The following is a 21659-nucleotide window of genomic DNA, read 5'->3' on the forward strand; positions in this document are numbered from 1 at the left end:
TGTTAGAAGATTGATTTTTTTTTTCCTAAACAGAGGAACCAAAATGTAATTGATACAGGTGTTAGGAACTACAGAATAAAGTTAGTTAGGTCACACAATAGAAAGCTTTGCAAAAAGCAGTTGTGAGATGTGAGAAAGCTTAGCTGATCTCCAGTGTTAAAACAAGTATTAACTTCTTCAACTCCATCCCTACCACTTTTTACATGTTTTATCCATATGTTTAAGAACTCTCCAATGATTTGAGGTTTTGTAGACGTAGTTCACAAAGGCTGATTTCCAATATTGTTCAATATTCTTCTCTAAGGCTTTTTTGTAATTCTAATTGTCATGTTATTTCTGTGCACATTTGAGACTGCTGAATATTCATTGTCTGGTTTCACTAAAACAGCATGCAGGTACACAGTGTTCCTTTCCTAAGGTAGCTGGGTTGCACCTATACCTTTTGGAAATGGAAAATCTGAAGAATGCTACAACCCGGAAAGCATTTTTTTTTTTTTTCAGAATGAAACTAACAAGGGTAGTAAATATCTATGAGTACAGTAACAAAACTATGTATTTCCATGGGCACAATACATTTTGTAAATTCTAATTTGTATTCTTTGTCTTGGGGTTAGGGAGGAATGATTAAGATAAAGAAATAGATCAGTAATCTCTCTACTTCACTAAGATGAGGGAAGGGAAAAGTGTAATGTACAGGTCAAAATAATGCTGAAATGCAGAATGCTTTTCAGAAGTATGCCATTAGACCTTCAAATGTGCTGTAGGTGCTAATAGTACTTGTCTAACAAGAAAATATTGAGTCATTGTCTTTTGAAGGTTTTAAACTGTTTTATGTCCCAAACACATCCCTACCAGGCGTAGTAAGAGTAGTCCATTAATGTTTTCATTGATTAGAGGTTGAAGTAATAGAATATTGTGGAAGTGTTTTATTGCATTAACTTTTATTTTAATTCCTCTTCTAAATTTGGGATCTTTTAAAGGTAATAGGTAATTTTTAAAAAGCAGCAAAGAAGAAGATTGTGACTTTAGGTCTAATTTAATAAAGTTGCTTCTTGTATTGCAATTATTTCCAACCAGATAAAGCCTAGTTTATAATCCATAAAATTTTGACTCATATAAGTCCTATCAATGACTTTCAAAACACAGATTCACTACAACATAATTTATTTTGATAATTTTGGGGTGTCAGAGGAACTAAATTTTAAAAACCATTCTCCTTAATTATAAAGATAAACTCAAGTCTAAAAGAGCAAAAGCCTTGATAAAAGTTCATTTTAGATTGTGGAATTTGTTTTTGATTATTTTTCTTTCTCCCTCTCCGTGTTGGCATTGAAAGCTAGGCTCAAAACCTGTTTGACCACTGACTGAAGCACTTAAAAACCCTTGGAACAAAAACAAATTCATCTTCTAAAACTGTAAAATGCTGACAAAACCTTAATAGAGGACACACACAAAAATGCCTCTCTCAATATACAAACAGCTCAATCTGAAGGCTACAGGAATGCTGTTAGTCAAAACAGGTTCATTATTCTAACCTTGAGCTCTAAGAGGAGAATATTTGATAGAGTCTCGTTAAGAAAGGATTAATGGCATATTTGAATTCCTTTTTGTACCCTTTTGTACATTTTATGTTTTATTGCTTAAAATTGTATAAGCGCATTCATATTCAAAAAGAACTACTGGTATCATAAAAGATGCCTAAGAAAGAGTTTGCTAGCTGTCCACCCAAACCCATGCTACACTTTTTCCACCGTAATAAAGTAGCTAGATGTCCAGCAACAATACATTTCCCAGCCTCTCTCGTGATCTGGTACAACCATGTAACTAACTGTTCTCCAATGGGATGCGAGAAGTGATATATGTGGCTTCCAGACCTGGCCAATACAATGCTTCACCAGGTACAGACACTTCTCAACTTACCATGGAGGTTATATCCCAATAAACCCATGGTAATTAGAAAATATCATAAGCCAAAAATGCATTTAGTACACTTAACCTACTGAACAGCATAGCTTAGCCTAGCCTAAACATGGTCAGAACACTTACATTAGCTTACAATTGGGTAAAATCATCTAACAGAAAGCCCATTTTATAACAAAAGTGTTGAATATCTCATGTAATTTACTGAATACTATACTTACTGAAAGTAAAAAATCAGATGGTTGTATGGATACTCAAAGTACAGCTTCTAGTGAATATGTATAGCCTTCTTTCCTTACTCAATAGTACACAAAAGAAAGGAATCCTAGATGTGTGTATAAACATGAGGAGACTGATATAAGTTAGAAGAGTATTCACTTTTCATAGATGAAAGGTAGGCTGTGGTTAGAACACAAAGATGGACCTTTGGTGTTATGCAAAGGAGGCAGTGGGGGAAAGCTGTTGGAGTTCTTGATGAGATGGTCTTTACATCAAAGTGATTTATGATCACACCACTCCACTTGTCCATTATGTTCCATCCCCTATCACTGACTCAAGAACATTGCTCCTGCAATGGATTCTCTTGCATCGTCATCTTCTCCTCTCTATTGGCTTGTCTTACACAAATATTCTGTAACATCACTGCCTTCTAAAAACTGTCTTCATCTTGTATTCTCTCCAACTGCTACCTCGTTTTTCTTCCCCCTTGTAGGGCAAAACCTGTTCAAAGACCTTCCATACTGGTAGTATCCAACTCATTTCCTCTTAGGTTTTCTTGAACCCACTTAATCAGGCTCTTCCTGCCTCTTCCCACCAATAGAGCTCCCATCAAGGTAGCTGTGGGTTAGCTAGATATATGTGAAGTTATCACTCACTCCCTATTGCAATTTCTTTATTCTAATTTTCTCTGGACCTAAATCTAATGAGGCTCTTGCCTCCATGTTGCACTGGAGATCGGCAGCAGCTCCTTCTTAGTCCCTTGTGGTGCTCCCTTCTCATCTGCTTACCCCCTAAATGCTGGTAGGTCTCAGGGCTTAGTCCTTGGACCCTTTCTTTTTACCCTTTGTACTCAGTCCTTTGGTGTCAGCTTATCCACTCTCAAGGCTTTAAAAACCAACTGTGCACCAAAGACTTCCAAAATTATTTATTTCATCTCTCCCTTGACCTCCAGATTAATATATCTAACTGCCTACTTGAATTCTTTACTAGATTCTGTCAATTATTTTACTTTAGTCCTTATCCATTTCTCATCACCCCATGCACTATACTTAACACAGCTGCCAGAGTGATCCTTTCATAAGGTATATCACAAAATGGCTTCCTTCCCCTCTCAATCCTCTGTGGCTCCTTATCCTACTTAAGGTAACTGCTAAAGTCCTAAAAATGGCTATGAAGCTTTAGGTGATCAGGACCTCTGCTACATCTTTGACCTCATCTCCTACAATGCTCCTCTCAACTCTGTTCTAACCATGGCCACCTCTTGCCTGTCCTCAAAGGCTCAGCATGCTGCTCCCTCTGCCTGGATTTTCTGTCTCCAGATATCCTGATGGCTCATTCCCTCACCTCCTTCAGGCCTCTGTGCAAGCATCATTTTCAGTGAGGCCTGACTTGAATGTCCTCTACGATATCGATCCTTTACCTCTTACCACTTTCCATCCTCTTTACCCTGCCTTATTTCTCTCCACAGCATGTATTGCCATCTAACTAGATATTTCTTTCTTATCTATCTCATTTTATGAGACTGTAAACTTCAGGAAGGCAGAGTGTGTGTCTGTTTTGATCACATTGTGTCCTTAGTGTTGAAAATAGTGCTTGTCATATAGTTAGTTGTTGTGTGATTGAAGGAATAAATAATTTTAAGTCAGTGGTTCACATTGTTGGGCTTTTTTACATTATATTTGATACCACCCAGAAAATCATGGTCATGTGGTTTTTTAACAGGAGTTCTTGCTGAGTTGTGTTACACTGAAAACAATGTTTCAGTTCTTGCTGAGTTGTGTTACACTGAAAACAATTGTTTTGTAGCAGCAGACATGTTCTGGAGAGGAAAGTGAGTAGAAGCTTGGAGACATGTTGGCTGGCTGTTTCAATATTCCAGACTAATTACAATAAGAGCCTCAACTATGTAATGGCAACGCAAAAAGGGAAAGGAGATGCACGTAATATTTTTTTAAAAAGCAGAATCAACTAAATTTGACACATGATTGAAATGTTGAAGGAAGGATGGAGGTGAAGAAAAGGAAAGGACTTGGAAAATGACTAAGGAGACGATGATGTGATTGAATCAGATGGGACTCTTGAATGAAAAAGATTGAGGAGAAGATGATGAGTTTGGTTTCAACATGTTGACTTTAAAGTATTCTCTGGGGTGAACTGCAGACAGAATCCATCAAATGTTAATTTCTAAGTCATTTGTAGAGGGGTGACAACTGAAACCATGGAACTGGAAAAGCTCTGAAAGTTCAGATAGAGAAGAGATATGAGACAAAAATCTAGATAACATTTAAATCCAAGCATGATTTATGGGAGCTTAGCCAGGGAAGGATACAACAAAGAAGAAAACAGTCATTGTGGTATGAGGACAAGGAGAGGTCAACATCATTCAGACCAAGGGAGAAAGGGTTCAGACAAAGAGCCACAAAGTATCAAACACCCCAAGGCCTTGAGGAGGCCAAGAACTAGATGAAGTCATAGCACAGGGACCAGTCATAGCACAAAAGACCAGTAGAGACATTAAGAAAGGTTCTGTAGAGAATGGGGTTGGAGTTCGGGTTGGGGTTGGGGATGGAATCTAGACTATAGGGAAATGATGTATAAATATGAAAAGAAGAATGGGGTCTGGGCATGGCACGTCACTCCTGTAATCCCAGCACTGGGAGGCTGAGGTGGGAGGATCATTTGAGGCCAGAAGTGTGAGACCAGCCTGGCCTCACACTTCTGAAACTCTGTCTCTACAAAAAATTTTAAAAATTAGCTGGGTGTGGTGGCACATGCCTATGGTCCCGGCTACTTGGGAGGCTGGGGCAGAAGGATCCCTTAAGCCCAGGAGTTGGATGTTGCAGTGAGCTTTGATCATGCCACTGTACTCCAGGCTGGATGACAGAGTTAGACTCTGCCTCTTAAAAAAAAATAGAACTGAAACTAACAAGTACAGACTGTTCAACATGTGTGATGGTAAAATGAAGAAAAGAGATTGGCCATCAGAGCAGAGGGAGCAGAAACGTATTTACTGTGTTCAGTTTTACCTATTCTTTAGCACATTTAGTTGCATTGAAATCTCACAAAAAAACACAATCTCACAAAAAACTGCTATTTTACAGATGAAGTAAAAGGCTAAGTAACGTGCTTTACTTGCCATAGCTATGAAGTGAGATAGTTGGAACTGAAATTCAGGTATGATTACAAGACCTATTCTCCTTTCTTGAACCTTGACTGAGATTTCATGTACACATGAAACTAAAAGGAAGTTGTTCGTAGATAAGAGACCTATAGACTTTGTTTTTATTTTTATATATTAAATGTAATATTATAGAATTCATATAATCACACAGAACATATTTGGAGAGAAGAGAAACAATTACCTCTAATACTACTGCCACCACCATAATGCAATCACACAATCACTTTTAGCTATATATCCTTTTAGCCTTTCTTCCTAGGAATGAATATATCATACATACATATGCATGCACTGTAGATATTGCTTCATAACCTATTTTTATATTGAAGGGCGGTACAGTGGAATCCCAGCTCCACCACTTACGTGTGACCTAGTTGTTTAATCTCCTATGCCTAATTGTCCTCATGATTAGAATGGGAATAATAATATCTACCTATGGATTATTGGGAGGATTAAAATTGAGAATATATGAAAAGCACTTAAAATATAACTTGTCAAATATTTTCTATTTTATTATATAATCTTCATAACTATAATTTTGAATCATTGCAAAATATTTTATTGAGTTGACATACAAATGTTAATCATCTGCTCTTCTACTTCTGAACATTTAAATTGCTTCTAATTCTCCATGATTATAAATAGCCTTGTGGTGAGCAAATTAATATATATGGTTTTTTTGATATTTAAGATTATGCACCTAGTGGCCGAGTGTGGTGGCTCATGCCTGTAATCCCAGCACTTTGAGAAGCCGAGGGGGGCAGATCAGTTGAGGTCAGGAGTTCAGGACCAGCCCGGCCAACATGGTGAAACCCCATCTCCACTAAAATACAAAAATTAGCTGGGCACAGTGGTGTGCGCCTGTAAACCCAGCTACTCAGGAGGCTGAGGCAGGAGAATCACTTGAACCCGGGAGGGGGAGGTTGCAGTGAGCTGAGATCATGTCACTGCACTCCAGCTGGGCAATAAGAGTGAAACTCCATCTCAAACAAACAAACAAACAAACAAACAAAAAGGATTATGCACCTAGAACAGAGTAAGTAGCAGAAGTAGGATTATTGGATAAAATGCATGAATGTGTTGTGATTTTTGACTCAAAGTATTAAACTCTGCCCTAGAGTGGAAGTTTGGAGATGGAGACTTTTTTTCTAGGCCAGTGGAGATGAGCCAATAGAGAGGAAGTGTGCATGTGTAAGTATGTTTTTATGCCGGTGTCAGGTAGGCTGGGAGATGGATGTGAAAAATAGAATTTCCAAAGATACTTTTCACCTTAGAGGTTAGTTTTAGAATTTAGGAAACTTACTTTGTCATTTGAGCAGATAAGAAAATAAAATAGGCAGAGAGCTAGAGAAATGTGGAAGTGAAGTGAGGGAAGTTGAAACAGAAGCGGGTTATTTCAGCTCTTCAAAGTAAAAGAGGAGATAAGGTTTTCTTCTGGGAGAGAAGGAAGGGCACAGGTATGAGCTTGGGGTTTAAGGAAAGGGAAAGGTTGAAATTGTGGCAATAATTCGAGATAAGGCAGTGCAGTCTGATGCCCAGACTGGTACCTCACTGCCCCTGATTTCTGAGCTCTGAATTATCTGTAGTTTCTCAGTCTCTGCTGGTCATGATATCCTCGGGAGGCAAGGGACAGAGGGAGAAAGGAGCCAGATAGTTCCCACTGTAAAGACACCAAATCTGTAAGACACTTTTCCAGATCTACATCATATTCTCCTCTTTGGCTGTGCCGTGGGCCAGCAAGATCACTGTGAAGCCATTTACTCACTGTCTTCAGTTACTCTCCTACCATCTTCTCCTGAAAATGGCTCTTGCTCCCATCTTTCTACCAACCCTATTCTTACTAAGATCACCAGGGAGCGACATTTTGCTAATTTCAATGGTTGAACTCGCAGTCTTTTACTTGACCTATCATCTGATTCTCCTTCCTCTTTGAGTCCCTTGGTTACTTGGCTTCTAAGACACCAAACTTACCTCATTTTTCTTCTAGTTTTCTGGCTGCTGCTTCTTAAGTTTCCTCAGCTGGCTTCTTATATCCCCATTCTCTGCCTCAAGGCCTTGTGTGAAGGCCTTTTCTATCCATATTCACTCCCTTGGTTATCTCAGCCAGTGTATTGGCTTTAAATGTCATTTACAATGCTCATGACTCTCACATTTGTATCTCTAAGGAGGGCATTCTCCCGAAACTCTAGGCCCAGAAGCCCAGTTGCCTCTCTAATATCTCTTCTCTTAGATGTCTAATGGGCAGCTCAGTCTTTCCATGTCAGAAACTGAACTTAGGATATGACTCCCAAAACGTCTATCTTCCTCATCTCAGTAAATTGGCAAGACCAGTCTCCTGGCTGCTCAGGACAAAAATCTTGGAATCATCTTTGACTCCTCTTTTGCTTTCATACCCCACATTGAATCTGTCAGGTGATTTTGTCAATTCTATCTTCAAAATACATTCACTTTCTTACCCCACCTCTTGACCACTGCAGTGCACAACTCCAGGGGGAACCATTCATGTTTTAGTTGATGGGAACAGTGCTCTCTAGATCAGTGAAGGGTACAGCCCGTGAGTCCATATAGCTGGCTCTTGTATTACCTCAGTTCAAGCCATCATCATCTCAAACCCAGATGACTGTAATGATTCCTAACTGGTCTCTCTGCTTCTGCCCTTGCCTGCTAATTGTCTATTCTCAACAAAGCATCACCAAGTTTAAGTAAGCCAGGTCACTGTTCTACTGAGAACTCAATGGCTTCTCATCTCACCCAGAATAAAGGAGGGGTCCTTACAATGATCTATAAAGACCTATTTAACATGCCCTGCTTTCCATTCCCTCTTTCACTTTGCTCACTCTTTTCCAACCATAATGGTGCCTCTGTGGTTCCTTCAATATTCCAGAAAACAATTGCCTCAGAGCCCTTGCACCTGTGATTCCAACAGTAAGTCTTGCTTCCTTACTTCCTCTAGTTCTTTATACTCAAGTGTCAAATTCTTGGAGAGGTCTCCTCTGATTATTCCATTTAAAACTGCATCCCTTGCCCCCTCACAGGTTCCTGTCCCCATTCCCTGCATATTTTTTTTCTTTCTAGTTGTTATCACTACCTAATATACTTTATTGTTTACTTATTTATCTTGGTTATTGTCTGTTTCCCTGACTAGAATGTAAGCTCCAGGAAGGCAGGAATTGTTACCTGTTTTTCTCACTATTGTATCCACAGGATCTAAACTATTTCCTGCCACACAGATGACATATAATTATGTATAATTTTTTTAAGCTATAGAAACAAATGTTTGGTCAGAATGTAAAGAACTTAAAATGGGCTAGGGAAAGGTTTTGGAGGAAAGTTGGGGAAAGTAGAATTAGAAGGTTAAAAATAAGGGGGAAGTGAAGATACACAACGTAACATTCAGGATGTCGTCTTAATATTAGTCGTCGTTGTGTTCCCTGGCTCTTTGCTTTGTGGTTACTTGCGAAGATTAGATTTTTAAATTCATGGAATATAAGAGTTGGAAAACATCTTTGAGAATACCCTCACTTTACAGATGAGGAAGTTTTTCTTCTAAGTTGTATTGGCAGGGTTTCAAGTTATTCATTGCAACAAAGACACGGTCCACTGAGTTCATATGTGACATGCACAATCCTGGAATGCGGAAACTGGCAATTGAGGTAGGGGCAAATTCTTTCACATAAAAAACCCCAAATGGAATTAGGATCTTCCATCCCAGTGTTTTTCAGCACAGACTATGTCCATAGTTTTATCAGTAAACACATATTCTAAGGAGTAAATGTACTTTTCCACTTCTATTAACTATTACCATCTAACTAACTGAAGACACTATTCCTGGTGGAAAAAATTAATGGGTTAAATGAATGTAAAAAGGGATTCAAACTGAGAAGCCTGCTTCATAGCTTCTTTTCACACTATAAAGCCAAGTCTCAGACTTTCAGTCACCAGATAGCTCTTTGGCAGATCAGCAAATCATGGGCCAATTAGAGAGCTAATGAAGTTAATACCATTTATTTTATTTAAATATTTACTTTTAACAAGAAAAATGAAATCATCAGTGTTAAAAAATAGTGTGTCATGATTCCAAACTTTAAATTCTTTATTTTGAGAATTGTACCAGACATAAGTCTGAGGTAGATTATTATTTCTGTTCACTCTAGCTGATCAGTTTACTTCCAGAAACAATGCATTGAGACATTATGGGGGGAAAAAAATCCTAGATTTGCATTTACCTGTATTTTACTTATGGAAAAATTAGAAATCTTCTCCGAGCACATGCAGAAATTGACAATGAGAAAATAGGTGGCCCATGAATTTTATTGAATGTATGGAAAACACAGCATGGAGCTAAAAACTGGTCAAAGTACGTCAGAGGATTTGCACACTAAACAGTAGGAGAGGATATTGCCTATTTTTATTAGGGATTCCAGTTCACGCCATGTTATAAAATTTATCTTCAGGTTTTTGGGTTTGTTGTTTTCTTTTTTAACTAAAGGGACAGACTTTGTGGCTTATTTTTCAGAGAAACTAATACATTAAGGAAGAAGGATGATGAATGTTAATAGTTATACTGAACAAATATTTAGCCACTGATTAAACCACTTGTAAACACTTATACTATGTATTGAATTAAGGATCCAAGATTCAGGTCTGAGGCAACTACACAGGGATTAATTTCTTTTTGTTTCTGATTAACTTGGAAGAAAATACTTTAAAAGAGTACAGATTTGAAACAAAATTTCTGAACATGAAGAGATTTCTGAACATGAAGATAGCTGATCCTCTTTCACTGTGTATTTCACCTTGCTTTAAGTTCATTCATTAATTTATAAAACATATTCACTCAGACAAGAACAAATAGAATGGGGAAAAAGAAGAAAAAATGCTTTATGGGCAATTTTATTTCAAAAACAAAATTTAAAAATGCTTGAAAAAAAAGAGAAAAAAACAATGGAAATCAGAATGTGTGGTGTCTCTTGTTCCTTTGTAGAATATAATATTTCTCGGCCTTAATTTTTGTATTTATTAAAAAGAAATACAAATATATATACACTTAGTAGCTCTAAGGTCTCTTCCAGCACTCAAAACTGAAAGACTGAAATTACTTTTAATTTTTTTACAAAGCAAAGAAAAGAGATGTAATATTTCCTAACAAGTAAAACTTTATAGACGTATTCACTTACCACAAGACCGTCCTGATTGTCATGAAGCTCAGAAAGTTTAGTACTGGATTTCTGACGTTTAGGCTTGCTCCTTTCTCCAGCACAACCAAAAGTATTTTTGTGTACCTTTTCGACTTCCTGAGTATTCAAAATACAATCATCAAGGTGGTTGAACCCAGAAGGAGTATTTTCTTTGTTGATAAGTCCCCTTGAATTGAGAAAAAAGCTTAATTTTATTTTAAAAGATCAAATGGTCATTGAATGATACTCTAACTACATCATATCATACCTAGGAAATCCAAAGAGTGCCCAGAAATTCCAGTATGCATCTCTGATCAAAATCTGAGCAGAGTGCCACTCCTGGGACTGCTTGGTGCCAAATAAATCACATTGAAAGAGAAATAATTCCTAGAGGCAAATTGGCAAGGGCTGTTTCTACCAATGGACAGCTTTTGTATTTTACCAAAAGTAATTTGTATTCAAAAAGGGAGAACAGTGCAAGTTTATACAGAAATTTCCTATTATTCACAGTAGATGTTTAAATATATATATATTTAAAATTTATAAATTCATACAGTGTATGGAGAAAAATCTAAAAAGGAATTGTATCTTCCATTTTAGTAGTGTAGAAATGTGTATTGAACAATGAGAACACATGGACACAGGAAGGGGAACATCACAGTCCGGAGACTGTTGTGGGGTGGGGGGAGCGGGGAGGGATAGCATTAGGAGATATACCTAATGCTAAATGACGAGTTAATGGGTGCAGCACACCAACATGGCACATGTATACATATGTAACAAACCTGCACATTGTGCACATGTACCCTAAAACTTAAAGTATAATGATAATAAAATAAAAAAAATTAAAAAATTAAAAAAAAAGAAATGTGTATTTCAATCTCATTGAATTATTAATAGATAATCTTAGTAGAAATTATATAAGTTAATAAAAACTATGGAATACAAAGCATTTTAACTGAAATCTGGATTTGTTACTTCCAAGTACAGACCTCTTTCATGACATAGTTGTAGAAGTAGATATGAATGTCATAGAATTTAATTCATTTGATGTTCATAAAACAGTTTTAAGTATTAATATCTTAAGCATTCCTATAATAGGTTTTCACAAGAGTAAATTAGCAAACTGAGTTAAAAAAAAAAAGAAACAATATCATGGAACAAATAAAACCATCAGCACAGCACCATGGCTTGGTAAGGAACAAATAAATGAGACTTTATTCTCCTCCTTCGTGGTATGAGTGAGTTAATGTACCTCCCTAAACACCTAAAACTGCATCTTGAAATAAATGAATTCTAAAGAGTAAAAATACATATCATATTTTACTATTGGCTCAACCATATCCCAAAATGAAAGATAACATTAAATATTTATTCTGAAATCTAAATTCATATCTTTAGACAGGGTATAACAGGCAAAATTATGAATTAAATACTATCATAATATTTTCAAAGTTATACTATCTTTGGTAATTTTTAACACTCCATATTTTAGTCTTTTTTCTACAACTTTAATGTGAAAATATATATTTAGTAAAATTATATAAAAGATTTATGCACATTTATAAGAGATATTCTAAGTACAAAGTAATTGAAGACAGGAGGAGAAGATGATAGGGACTAAATGCAAGCACTTATACTCATGCACATGTTCCTCAATCTCTCCCCTCCACGCACTGAGAGCAGTGCCTTCTGTGGGTGGCTGGATCAATTTGGTGTAATTCTAAAACTCAAAAATTATTTATTTTACTATTTAAATTCTATCTTATCACTCTTCATAGTTTTCCTAGCCTTTTTTTCTGTTTGTTTTTTATTTATTTTTAATTTTGTGTGTACACGGTAGGTGTATATACATAAATTACAGGGTACATGAGATATTTTGATACAGGCATGCAATGCATAATAATTACATTAAGGTAAATGAGGTATCCATTCCATCAGGCACTTATTCTTTGTATTACAAACAATCCAATTACACTCTTTTAGATATTTTTAATGTATAATTAATTTATTTTTTATTCTAATCACCCTGTTGTCCTAACAAATACTAGGTCTTTTGCAAACTATGTTTTCGTATCCATTAACCTAGCTTTTGGGGTATATGTCCACTTATAACTTTTTTTTTCACTTTTATTTTTATTTATTTATTTTTTGAGACAGAGTCTTGCTCTGTCGCCCAGGCTGGAGTACAGTGGTGCGATCTAGGCTCACTGCAAACTCGACCTCCCAGGTTCAAGCAATTCTCCTGCCTCAGCCTCCTGAGTAGCTGGGACTACAGGCATGCGCCACCACACTGGCTAATTTTTGTATTTTTAGTAGAGATGGGGTTTCATCATATTGGCCAGGCTCTTCTCAAACTCCTGCCCGCCTTGGCCTCCCAAAATGCTGGGATTACAGGCATGAGCCACTGCGCCCAGCCCCAATTATAACCTTTAAATGGAGGATCTTTAATGCTTTAAAGCTAGTATGGACGGATTTATGTACCCTCAAAATTCACATTTTGAAGTCCTAACCCCCAATGTGACCATATTTGGAGACAGGGCCTTTAAGGAGGTAAATAAGGTTAAAAGAGTAACAAGGGTGGGACCCTAATCCAATAGGACTAATGTCATTGTAAGAAGAGGGAGAGACATCAGGAGTGTGCACACAGGGGAAGGGGCATGTGCAGACACAGTGAAAAGGTAGCCATCTGCATGCCAGTGTGAGAGGCCTCAACAGAAACGGACACTTCTAGCACCTTGACCTTGAACTTACAGCTTCTAGAACTGTCAGAAGATAAATTTTTGTTGTTTAAGCCACCCAGTCGGTGGTATTTTGTTATGGCAGCCCAAGCAGACTAAAGACGACAGCTAAAAACGATTTTTAAAAATAAGAAAGTAAAGTTTATTTTATGATCATTTTGAATAGTGAATGAATGACTAGAAAAAATCCTGTCAAAATAAATATATGAAAATCTGACCATGCTGTTGTGCTCATGGACAAATCCTGTCTCCTCCGAGGGAAGTCTTTGCTTTTACGTGCATCCACGTGTCTCTTCTACTTCACTTTGTTGAACTCTAATTTCGATTACACTATAGATCCATGAGCCTGGATGCGATATCTGTTTTTCATCATTGAATCACCTTATAGTACTGGGTGCTCAATTATCACTGTTGAAGACTTCAGGGGCACTTTATTTAGATACAGCTCTGTATAAAACACATGGTTGTATTTCTTTAAATCTAATCTTAGATGGAGCAGGTGTACTCAATTCCTTCCTGCAATATTCTGTCAGATTTCAATCACATTTGACATAACTTGGATTTCACTGAACTTAGATCTCTGGACCTCTCACTTTCATTATCTAGATTTATTTCCATATTTTTTTCAGGATTTTCTCCTCACCCCTACATACTTACTTAATGTCCTGGCAATGCTGAACTATTTATTATTCCCCAAATATAGCCTGCTTTTCTTTTACTTTGCAGTAGGATTTTAATATAGTCTTTATATAACAAAGAAACATTTGGATCAATTTTCCAGTTCACTGTGTTTTTAGAAGATTGAAAATCATTTTCACTTAAATGATGCTTTGCTTTTAAAAAATATTTCTTATGATTTTTTTCAAACATATACAGAAGTAGAGACACTATCATAACAGACTTCCATATACCCATTACCAAAATTTCACATTTCTGTAAACTTGGCAGATAGTAGATTTTTTTACTAAATGAATTTAGCTGAATATTTTTACATAATGAAGATTTTATTATTACATAATGAAGATTAATTTGCTACAAAATTGTAGCAAATAGTAATATAGGTCTGATTATATTTCCTTATGAATTTAGACAAATAACAAATCATTTGTACCTATGAATGAAGTTATTTGTAGTCTTTGTCTATCTTCGGTACTGCTATTTCAAAAATGGGCCATGACGACTTTAGTATGACTTTACTGACCCTTCTACTCATCTTGAAACATAGTCATCATTGGCTTCTTCAAGAATATTTTTTAATTTGTTGCATCTCTAAGTTACTAGAGGCAAAATAATAGATAATAATATAAATAGATTTCTATGTTTCTAAACACTTTTTAACCACTTCATAAAGCTTATAGTTTTGAATAGAATATTACAGCCTAGCTTAATTTTTCCTTATTTTTTGAGTAAAGACTTGTGAAAAATCTTAAATGAATCAATTGTATAGAAGCATATACTATGACGAACTCTTGACTGTAGGCTATATTAATGATTCTTGATCTTCTTATAATTTATGACATGTTCATGACTCTCCTGGAGATACTGGAGAAGACCTTTATGGCGGCTCATTGAAAGGAAGGTTAAAACAGAAATCTAAGACCAAAGAGGAGATGCTGAAAGAATCAGCCTGCTGGAAAACTATTTCAAGCAAGCAGATGAGCAAAAGGAAAGAGTGGAGCTGGGAAGAAACAAGCGGAATGAGAGCACTGGATCAAAGAAGGTGAGTGAAAGGATAACAGAACCCAGCATGAAGATAAGGGGAGAGGGGTTGCAGGAAATGACTACTGACCTACGGTCAAAGCTGGGCCAGACAAAATTAGTGGATCTGGGGGTTTTGAGAGATAAGGGTCTCACTCTTCCAAAGACCTGGAGAGCTAAGAGAAGCCGTTCAGTGTGGGCTGGGAGTTGAAGGACTATCAAGACACGATTGTATCATAGTGTGCCAGGTTAGGTACTGTTTGTACCCCAAGATTCTCTCACTCAATGCCCAACTGTGATTTGACCAGGAGGAGTGGTGAAGGGAATAGCAAGAGAAGAACAATTAAGGGAAAGGCTAGGGTTTCATGGGTATAGTCTTCATACCATCACTCAGCTACCATTCCCCATCTCCTTTGGTTCTCCTAATACTGCTAGTAAAAAACAATCAAGATAACTTATGCAAGAAATGTCCCTGGGCTTGGGAAGCTCTCTATTTAAATTCTTCAGGAGAGGTGAGGCTGTGTTTCACATTTCCCTGCCCTGTCTGGCCCCTATCTGTTTCTACCTCCACTGTCCTCCCCCAGACCTGCTGCCAAGCATCCACCAACAGCACCATCACTCTCTGTTCTCTCTCATGCTCCCCACCACTTCCCACCTCCACCTGCTAGCCCTCTGTCCAAACAAAGAGGGTGGAAAGCAGGATATCGTGACACACTGAGGATATTTTTAAAATGCAAAATGTTGCTACATACTCCTCAGCAAAAAATGAGGCAGAGGATAAGAACAGTGTTAAATGAATAATTTGTGCTTTCTCTATAACACATTAGAGGTAGTACACAAACTAATTATACTTCTAAACACTTTCTATAAACATGTCAGTAGCTAATTTTAAATGTAAATATCTCATGTCATGCCACAGGAGAAGAAATGTAAATATCTCCTATATTATACTTTTTCTATTTTCTAAATGGAATATTACAACTATTCTATCCACCAGCTCCATGAAAATTTATTTTAAAAGTACTGCACATGCTACTTGTAAATCAGTGGGTTATATTATTGATACTGCTTTATTTCTAAAATTACATTTGCTAATATAGCTCTTAAACATCTCGGTGAGGTATAGCATGAAACTTATTTATACTGTTTATCTTTTATGTTTTTCTTTAAGCGAAAAAAAGTTTTTTTTCTTTTTCCATAAAGGGTTTAATGTAGATTATGAGTCAAAGTGAAAAAGAATGCGAATGAGGGGTGTGGGACTATTATATATTCATAAAGATTAAAAATTAAGAAAAGAAAGAAAAAGAATGAGGGGTGCTAGGGTCTGGTTCAGGTTAGTTTCTGACATTTAATAAGGAGTCATTATTAAACCATAAAGAGGCTAAAGGCCATAGTCAATAAAAATAACCTTGGAACTTTCAGGGAAAATATATGAATATCTGTATAGTCTATTCTCTATATAAATTTATTTTCCTTGACAATTTAAGTCATGATTATTAAATAATATAAATGGTAATTGTTCATCTGTATTTTATTAAATCTTTTCATGGAGAATAAAGCTCTTTGTAACACTATTCTTAAAATTCATACTATGGGAATGCCTTAAAATTAGTGATTATTATAATAAACAACTTAAGCTTTTCATTTTTTGAGTAGATTTAAGCCCAACCTTTCTTATACTAAAACATAATCAAATGTCAGAGTATTATAGGGATATCTGACTATTTAATCACATAAATATAATGGAGAAATCAGCTGCTCCATAAACAAGTCTAAATAGTCAACTTAATGTTGTCTAGCAAGAAAAAAAATACCTCTGGACAAGCATATGGTAACTTTCTCTGCCCATGGTTCAGAATCCCTCTAAATAAGATATTTATGAGGAAGCCATAGGGTGTATTCAATCAGAGGTGGCTTCTAACAACATACCAAATGTCTGGATGAAACGGAAATATTTATGCAATTACCTATGAATTTCCAAATGTAGCTAAGTTTAGAATGGACAAACTGATAACTCTTAAAGTTTTAACCTAAATACTGAAATGGGAGAGGACCAGGAGGTATGACTATAACACAGCGACTAATTTGGGTGTATATTTCTTTTAAAAAGAGAAAACTCAAGTAAGAGGAAGAATCAATGCCAACTCACTTGTCTCTCCCATGTCGAACTTCATCCTGCTCCTTGGACTGGCGGCGGCGCTGTCTGGCAGATGTGGCAGAAGATGCTGATAGTGTTCCAGATTCTGAGTCCTCTGAACTTTGACCTCCAGAGTTATTAACATCAAAAAGATGTTGTTCTACAGCTGATCGGATGGTTCTTTCTAAGAGTCTGGCAAAAAAGAATGCAGAGTCATTCAAGCAGTCAAGTTCATCAGTGATCACCTTAAAAAATCTGTGCCTACAGTTTTGGGAACATCTGTATTTCCAGTGGAAAGTCTTTAGAACTTCATAAGCAAAGAGAGATGATGAGGCATTAATCTAAAAAATATCTGCATTATGTGTTAAAACCAAAACTAAACGAAAACAATTCTGCCAATTTAACAACTTTCTCATCTTTGTGAAGCCAGTATTGCTGAAATGCTCATGGCAAGTCTAGCAACAATTATGAGGCATTCAGGAAACAGGGGTCAATCAATATAAGGAAGAATGAGGAAAGATTTTTTTTGCCCTCATAGAATAATAGTAGACCTATTCTTACAAAGGCAATTTCATACCAATTCTACAGAGGAAGAGAGAGTGATTTGCAAAGCAAACTGGCACAAATAATTTTATGATGCCTATTATCTATTTACAATCTAAGACAAAATTATATGAAAATAATGATATTTTGGGAAAAAACTCACCAGAACAATTAGAACTCACAACAGCATGGCATAATCTTTCCTAACCTCTATTCAATTAAATTGTGATGTTTATAATTAAAGCTGTATTCATGCAAACACCCCAGAACATATTACTGAAATTGGAAGGATAGATTTACTTTGTTCAACATGAGGAAAACACATAAGCACAAAGTGCTGAAAAGTGCATGGTAAGCTAGAAATGGAATCATTTTTAAAGCTGTAGAATCTTTCAAGGTGTGTATACCTTTTAGCACCACATTATTTCCAAATAAGCTGGTATGGAAAGCTCTTAACTCAGAGTCCTCAAACCTTGTTTTTCTTCGCTTGAAAAAGAACTATATATATATGTTCTAAATGCTCAGGCTGAGAAGTAGCATTTACTTAAATAAACTGTGTTTTGAGAACTTAACTAATTTCAGATTTTTCAAATGCAGTTTTATAATCGACTCATAGTTATTCAAATTTTATTAAAAATATTTTAAGATAATGAGGAAGTATAGTCAAATTAACTTGGGCATTAGAACTTTTATAGATAGAACTCCATGTCTCAAATGATTCAAGATTATTTAATCACAGTACAGAGGATTGTGAGTAAATTAATATGCACATAAGAGATGTACATAATATATAAATAACATATTCATGAGGATGCCATAAAATGCATTACATCAGAGGTGGCTTCCTACAACATACCAAACATCCAGATGAAACTGAAATATCTAAACAGAACAACCCTGCACTTTTTCCAAGCTATACAAGACCCATAAGGAAAGATTATTAGGAAATGAAAAAGGCAAGAACATGTCAGCCTTGGTGCAGTTCTTGAATATCTTTGAAACTGACAAAGCTAAAGGAGGTCAGTCCTGCCCTCTGATTGTTTTCTCTCCCAACAAGGAATTAAGAAAATGGAAATCCATCCTGTTAGATCCAAATTCATTTCAACTAGTGCTTCTTCTAATTCTTCTCTCTTCTCCCTATCACACCACATCTACCCCACCTCCTACACCTGATCCTTGCCAAGAGAAGATGCTCCAAAGAGGCCCACTCATGTCCCAGCAAGTAAGGAGAATAGGTAGGTGTAATGGAAACATATGTGAGCAAGGAGCTGTTCTGTCATTCAGTGACTATTTATTTAGTGCCTAATATATGCCAGGAACTTCTCTAGGCAGTAGGGAGATAGCAATGAACATGACAGACAAGTTCCTTGTATTTACAGAGCTTACATTCCCGTAGGGCAAGATAGATAATAAAGAAATAATGTAATTTCCAATAGTAATAAGTTCTCTAAAACATTGAGTAAAGTGGTGGCAAGTGAATATGGGTAGTTAGGAATAGAATCCTGGATAAGATGACACTTGAACGAGGAGTGAATGAGAAAAAAGTGCTGGCCAGGCTGAGGAACAGCCAATACAAAGGCTCTGAGGCAGCAATAAGGTTGGCCCTCCGTGGGAACAGTAGGTCATGTGGCTGAAGTGTAATGAGCAATATGGTCAGAGGCATTAGCAAGGACTGATAACTGGAGTTTAGGTTTAGTCTAAGTGTCAGTGGAAGACTTTGGAGGAAAAGGCATGTGATGACATAATTAAGAGAGTACCGCCACTGCCCTGTGGACCAGGGACTTGTTGCCATCACTAATTTGCTTTCTTTTCTGCATCCCTATTAGAGTGTAACATCCCTGAAGACAGGGCCCAAGGCGTCCTTGACATTACACATCTAACATGCGCCTGACGTGTTGCAGGCACTCAGTCAATGTAGGTTCAGTCAAATGAACTAAGTAGGGAGTAAAGACATGATTAATGGTTTAACCTTTAATTACATTATCCATTGCAAGATGCCTCCCAAAGTACATTAGACTACTTGCTAATATTAATTGATCCTGGCATTATTTTTAATGAAGTAAACAAAAAGCTCATATTTTCCAATGTTGGAGTTGTCTGTAGGAATACACATATAGAAGCTCAAATAAGAATACCTATGTAGTCCTCTCCTCCATATAGTTTAAAAGTCACTGGCTGCTTATTATCTGAATTTTCCAATACTGTACACCATTAGAGTTGCTTTTTTTTTCTGTTTAATAAGTGGGACAGGGCATTAAAAAAAAAAAACCCAAAGCCCAAAAACCCAACCCAAATAACTTACTCTCCGGTTGCAGACACATTGCTGACTTGGGGTACATGAGCACTGCAGAAAAGAAGCAAAGAGAAAGTCAGGTTAGATGAAAGATCAGAGATGATGAACCAAACATGTGAAGTGGATCGCAGGCTGAAAGAAATTAGCTCAGTCCCAAGTGATCCCCAAAACAATGTTTAACCATCCAATGAAAGATGCTCATTTTCACTTGTTTCTAGAAATGGAGATGGCCCTGCTTGCTTATAACAGTGGCTTTTTCTCCTTTTAAAAGTTGTCCAAGGCAGACAATTCTATAACTAAATTTGGAAAACCATCTCTTAGCTGTCAACCTATTGCCACAGCAGCCCTAGTTCAAGGTCTTTTCATTTTCCTAAAATGTTAATTGTGGCCATGTGCCTTCCTGCCACCTACTTCACCTATTTCTATCTTTTCCCAGCCCAAATCCATTCCCTTCCTTCTCCTCTTAGGCCAGGAAACAGAACATCTTTCTAAAACTCTGCTCTCAACAGGCAGAGGGCAGTGGGGACGACAGGGATAGAGAACAAGGAACCGATATTGTTTTCTATATGACTATTTCTAAACCATCTTTTCGAAGCCACATTTTCTTCCTAAGTTTCTCAGGATGGAAAGCATCTCAAGCTCTGTAATGTGTCAGCTTAACATCTAATTTACAATGTTTTTGTTGAGCACTTACAAATTTTCATGATTTTCCCATTTTTTTAAAGCCTGAATTCTTTTAAAAGTATTGAGAAGTGGTCAACACAAAGTAGAATGATAAAATTACAAAACACTATCAGGTTAGCATGCTTCAGAACTTTCCCCCTCATGCCTGCACTTATGTTCACATAACCACAATGAGTGTTGAGGCTGGCAGCTATTTTAATTGTATTAACACATTACATTCTCACAATCTGCCCTCTAGTGTTTAGTTGGCTTGTGAATCAAGATTTAAAAGTGCCTATCCTTTAAAAGAAGAGGTTAAATATTGAGCAGATTTGAGACAATCTTTAGTCGTGTCAAACTATAGTTCTACCTAATAGTCCTAATAGTTCTTTTCTTTCTTTGTAGAGACATTCAAAGAAAATCAAAGTTGTTAAGGACCAATATTGATAGTTGTCTTTCAATTACTCCAAACATTCTAATTTATACGATATAATTTTCAACATATGAATATGTTGCTTGGGAATCATCTGTCAGGTTTTTCTCCCATGTAAGTGTATATCTCATCTCTTTCAATGTAGAATCTCAAGGCCTCAAGGGACTGTACAATATTTCTCATTTTCTTTCATCACACTCCCTCCCACTACCACCACCATCATGTCTTCCATAGTACTCATTATCCCAGAGGTGATCAAAAAATGTTTACTCTTTCGCCCAAGATAATTTTCTTTAGCTAAAGCTGTAGCTCTTTGTTATGGCCACAGACAAACCCAGAAAAACCACGTAAAATCATGTGATTAGGTAAAAGGGAAGCTGATTCAAATTCGTATTAAATAATTAAGAAGATAAGTAAATAAATACAAACACCCTAAGACTTACTGAGTACTTACTATGTTCCAGACACTGTGCTAAGTACTTTTACATAGTTTTTTTTTCACTTATTATTTACAATAACCCTATGAAGAGGTACTACTCTTTTCCCTGTTTTCAGATGAAGAGGTTAGAAAGGTTAAATAACTTACCCACAGCCATAGAACCAAGAAATAAATGAGCTAGGATTTGAACCAAGAAAGGTTTTAGCTCAGAGTCT

General features: G+C 36.5%; 1 protein-coding gene across 24 annotated transcripts in view; it reads right to left on the reverse strand.

The window, feature by feature from the left end:
- The window catches only part of FAM13A (family with sequence similarity 13 member A), a 331226-nt gene that overhangs the window by 44708 nt on the left and 264859 nt on the right, over nucleotides 1-21659 (reverse strand). For 22 of the 24 annotated variants that reach the window (XM_047449481.1, XM_047449479.1, XM_011531516.2 and 19 more), the window contains 3 exons: nucleotides 19919-19960; nucleotides 17086-17265; nucleotides 10498-10684 (listed from right to left, as the gene is read on the reverse strand). In XM_047449481.1, coding sequence (XP_047305437.1) covers nucleotides 10498-10684; nucleotides 17086-17265; nucleotides 19919-19960 — 409 coding nt within the window. The remainder of the gene's footprint in view (nucleotides 1-10497; nucleotides 10685-17085; nucleotides 17266-19918; nucleotides 19961-21659) is intronic. The other 2 variants (XM_047449487.1, NM_001265580.2) reach the window with 1 other exon arrangement.

This window comes from Homo sapiens, chromosome 4, assembly GCF_000001405.40.
Source record: "Homo sapiens chromosome 4, GRCh38.p14 Primary Assembly".
Taxonomy (NCBI): domain Eukaryota; kingdom Metazoa; phylum Chordata; class Mammalia; order Primates; family Hominidae; genus Homo; species Homo sapiens.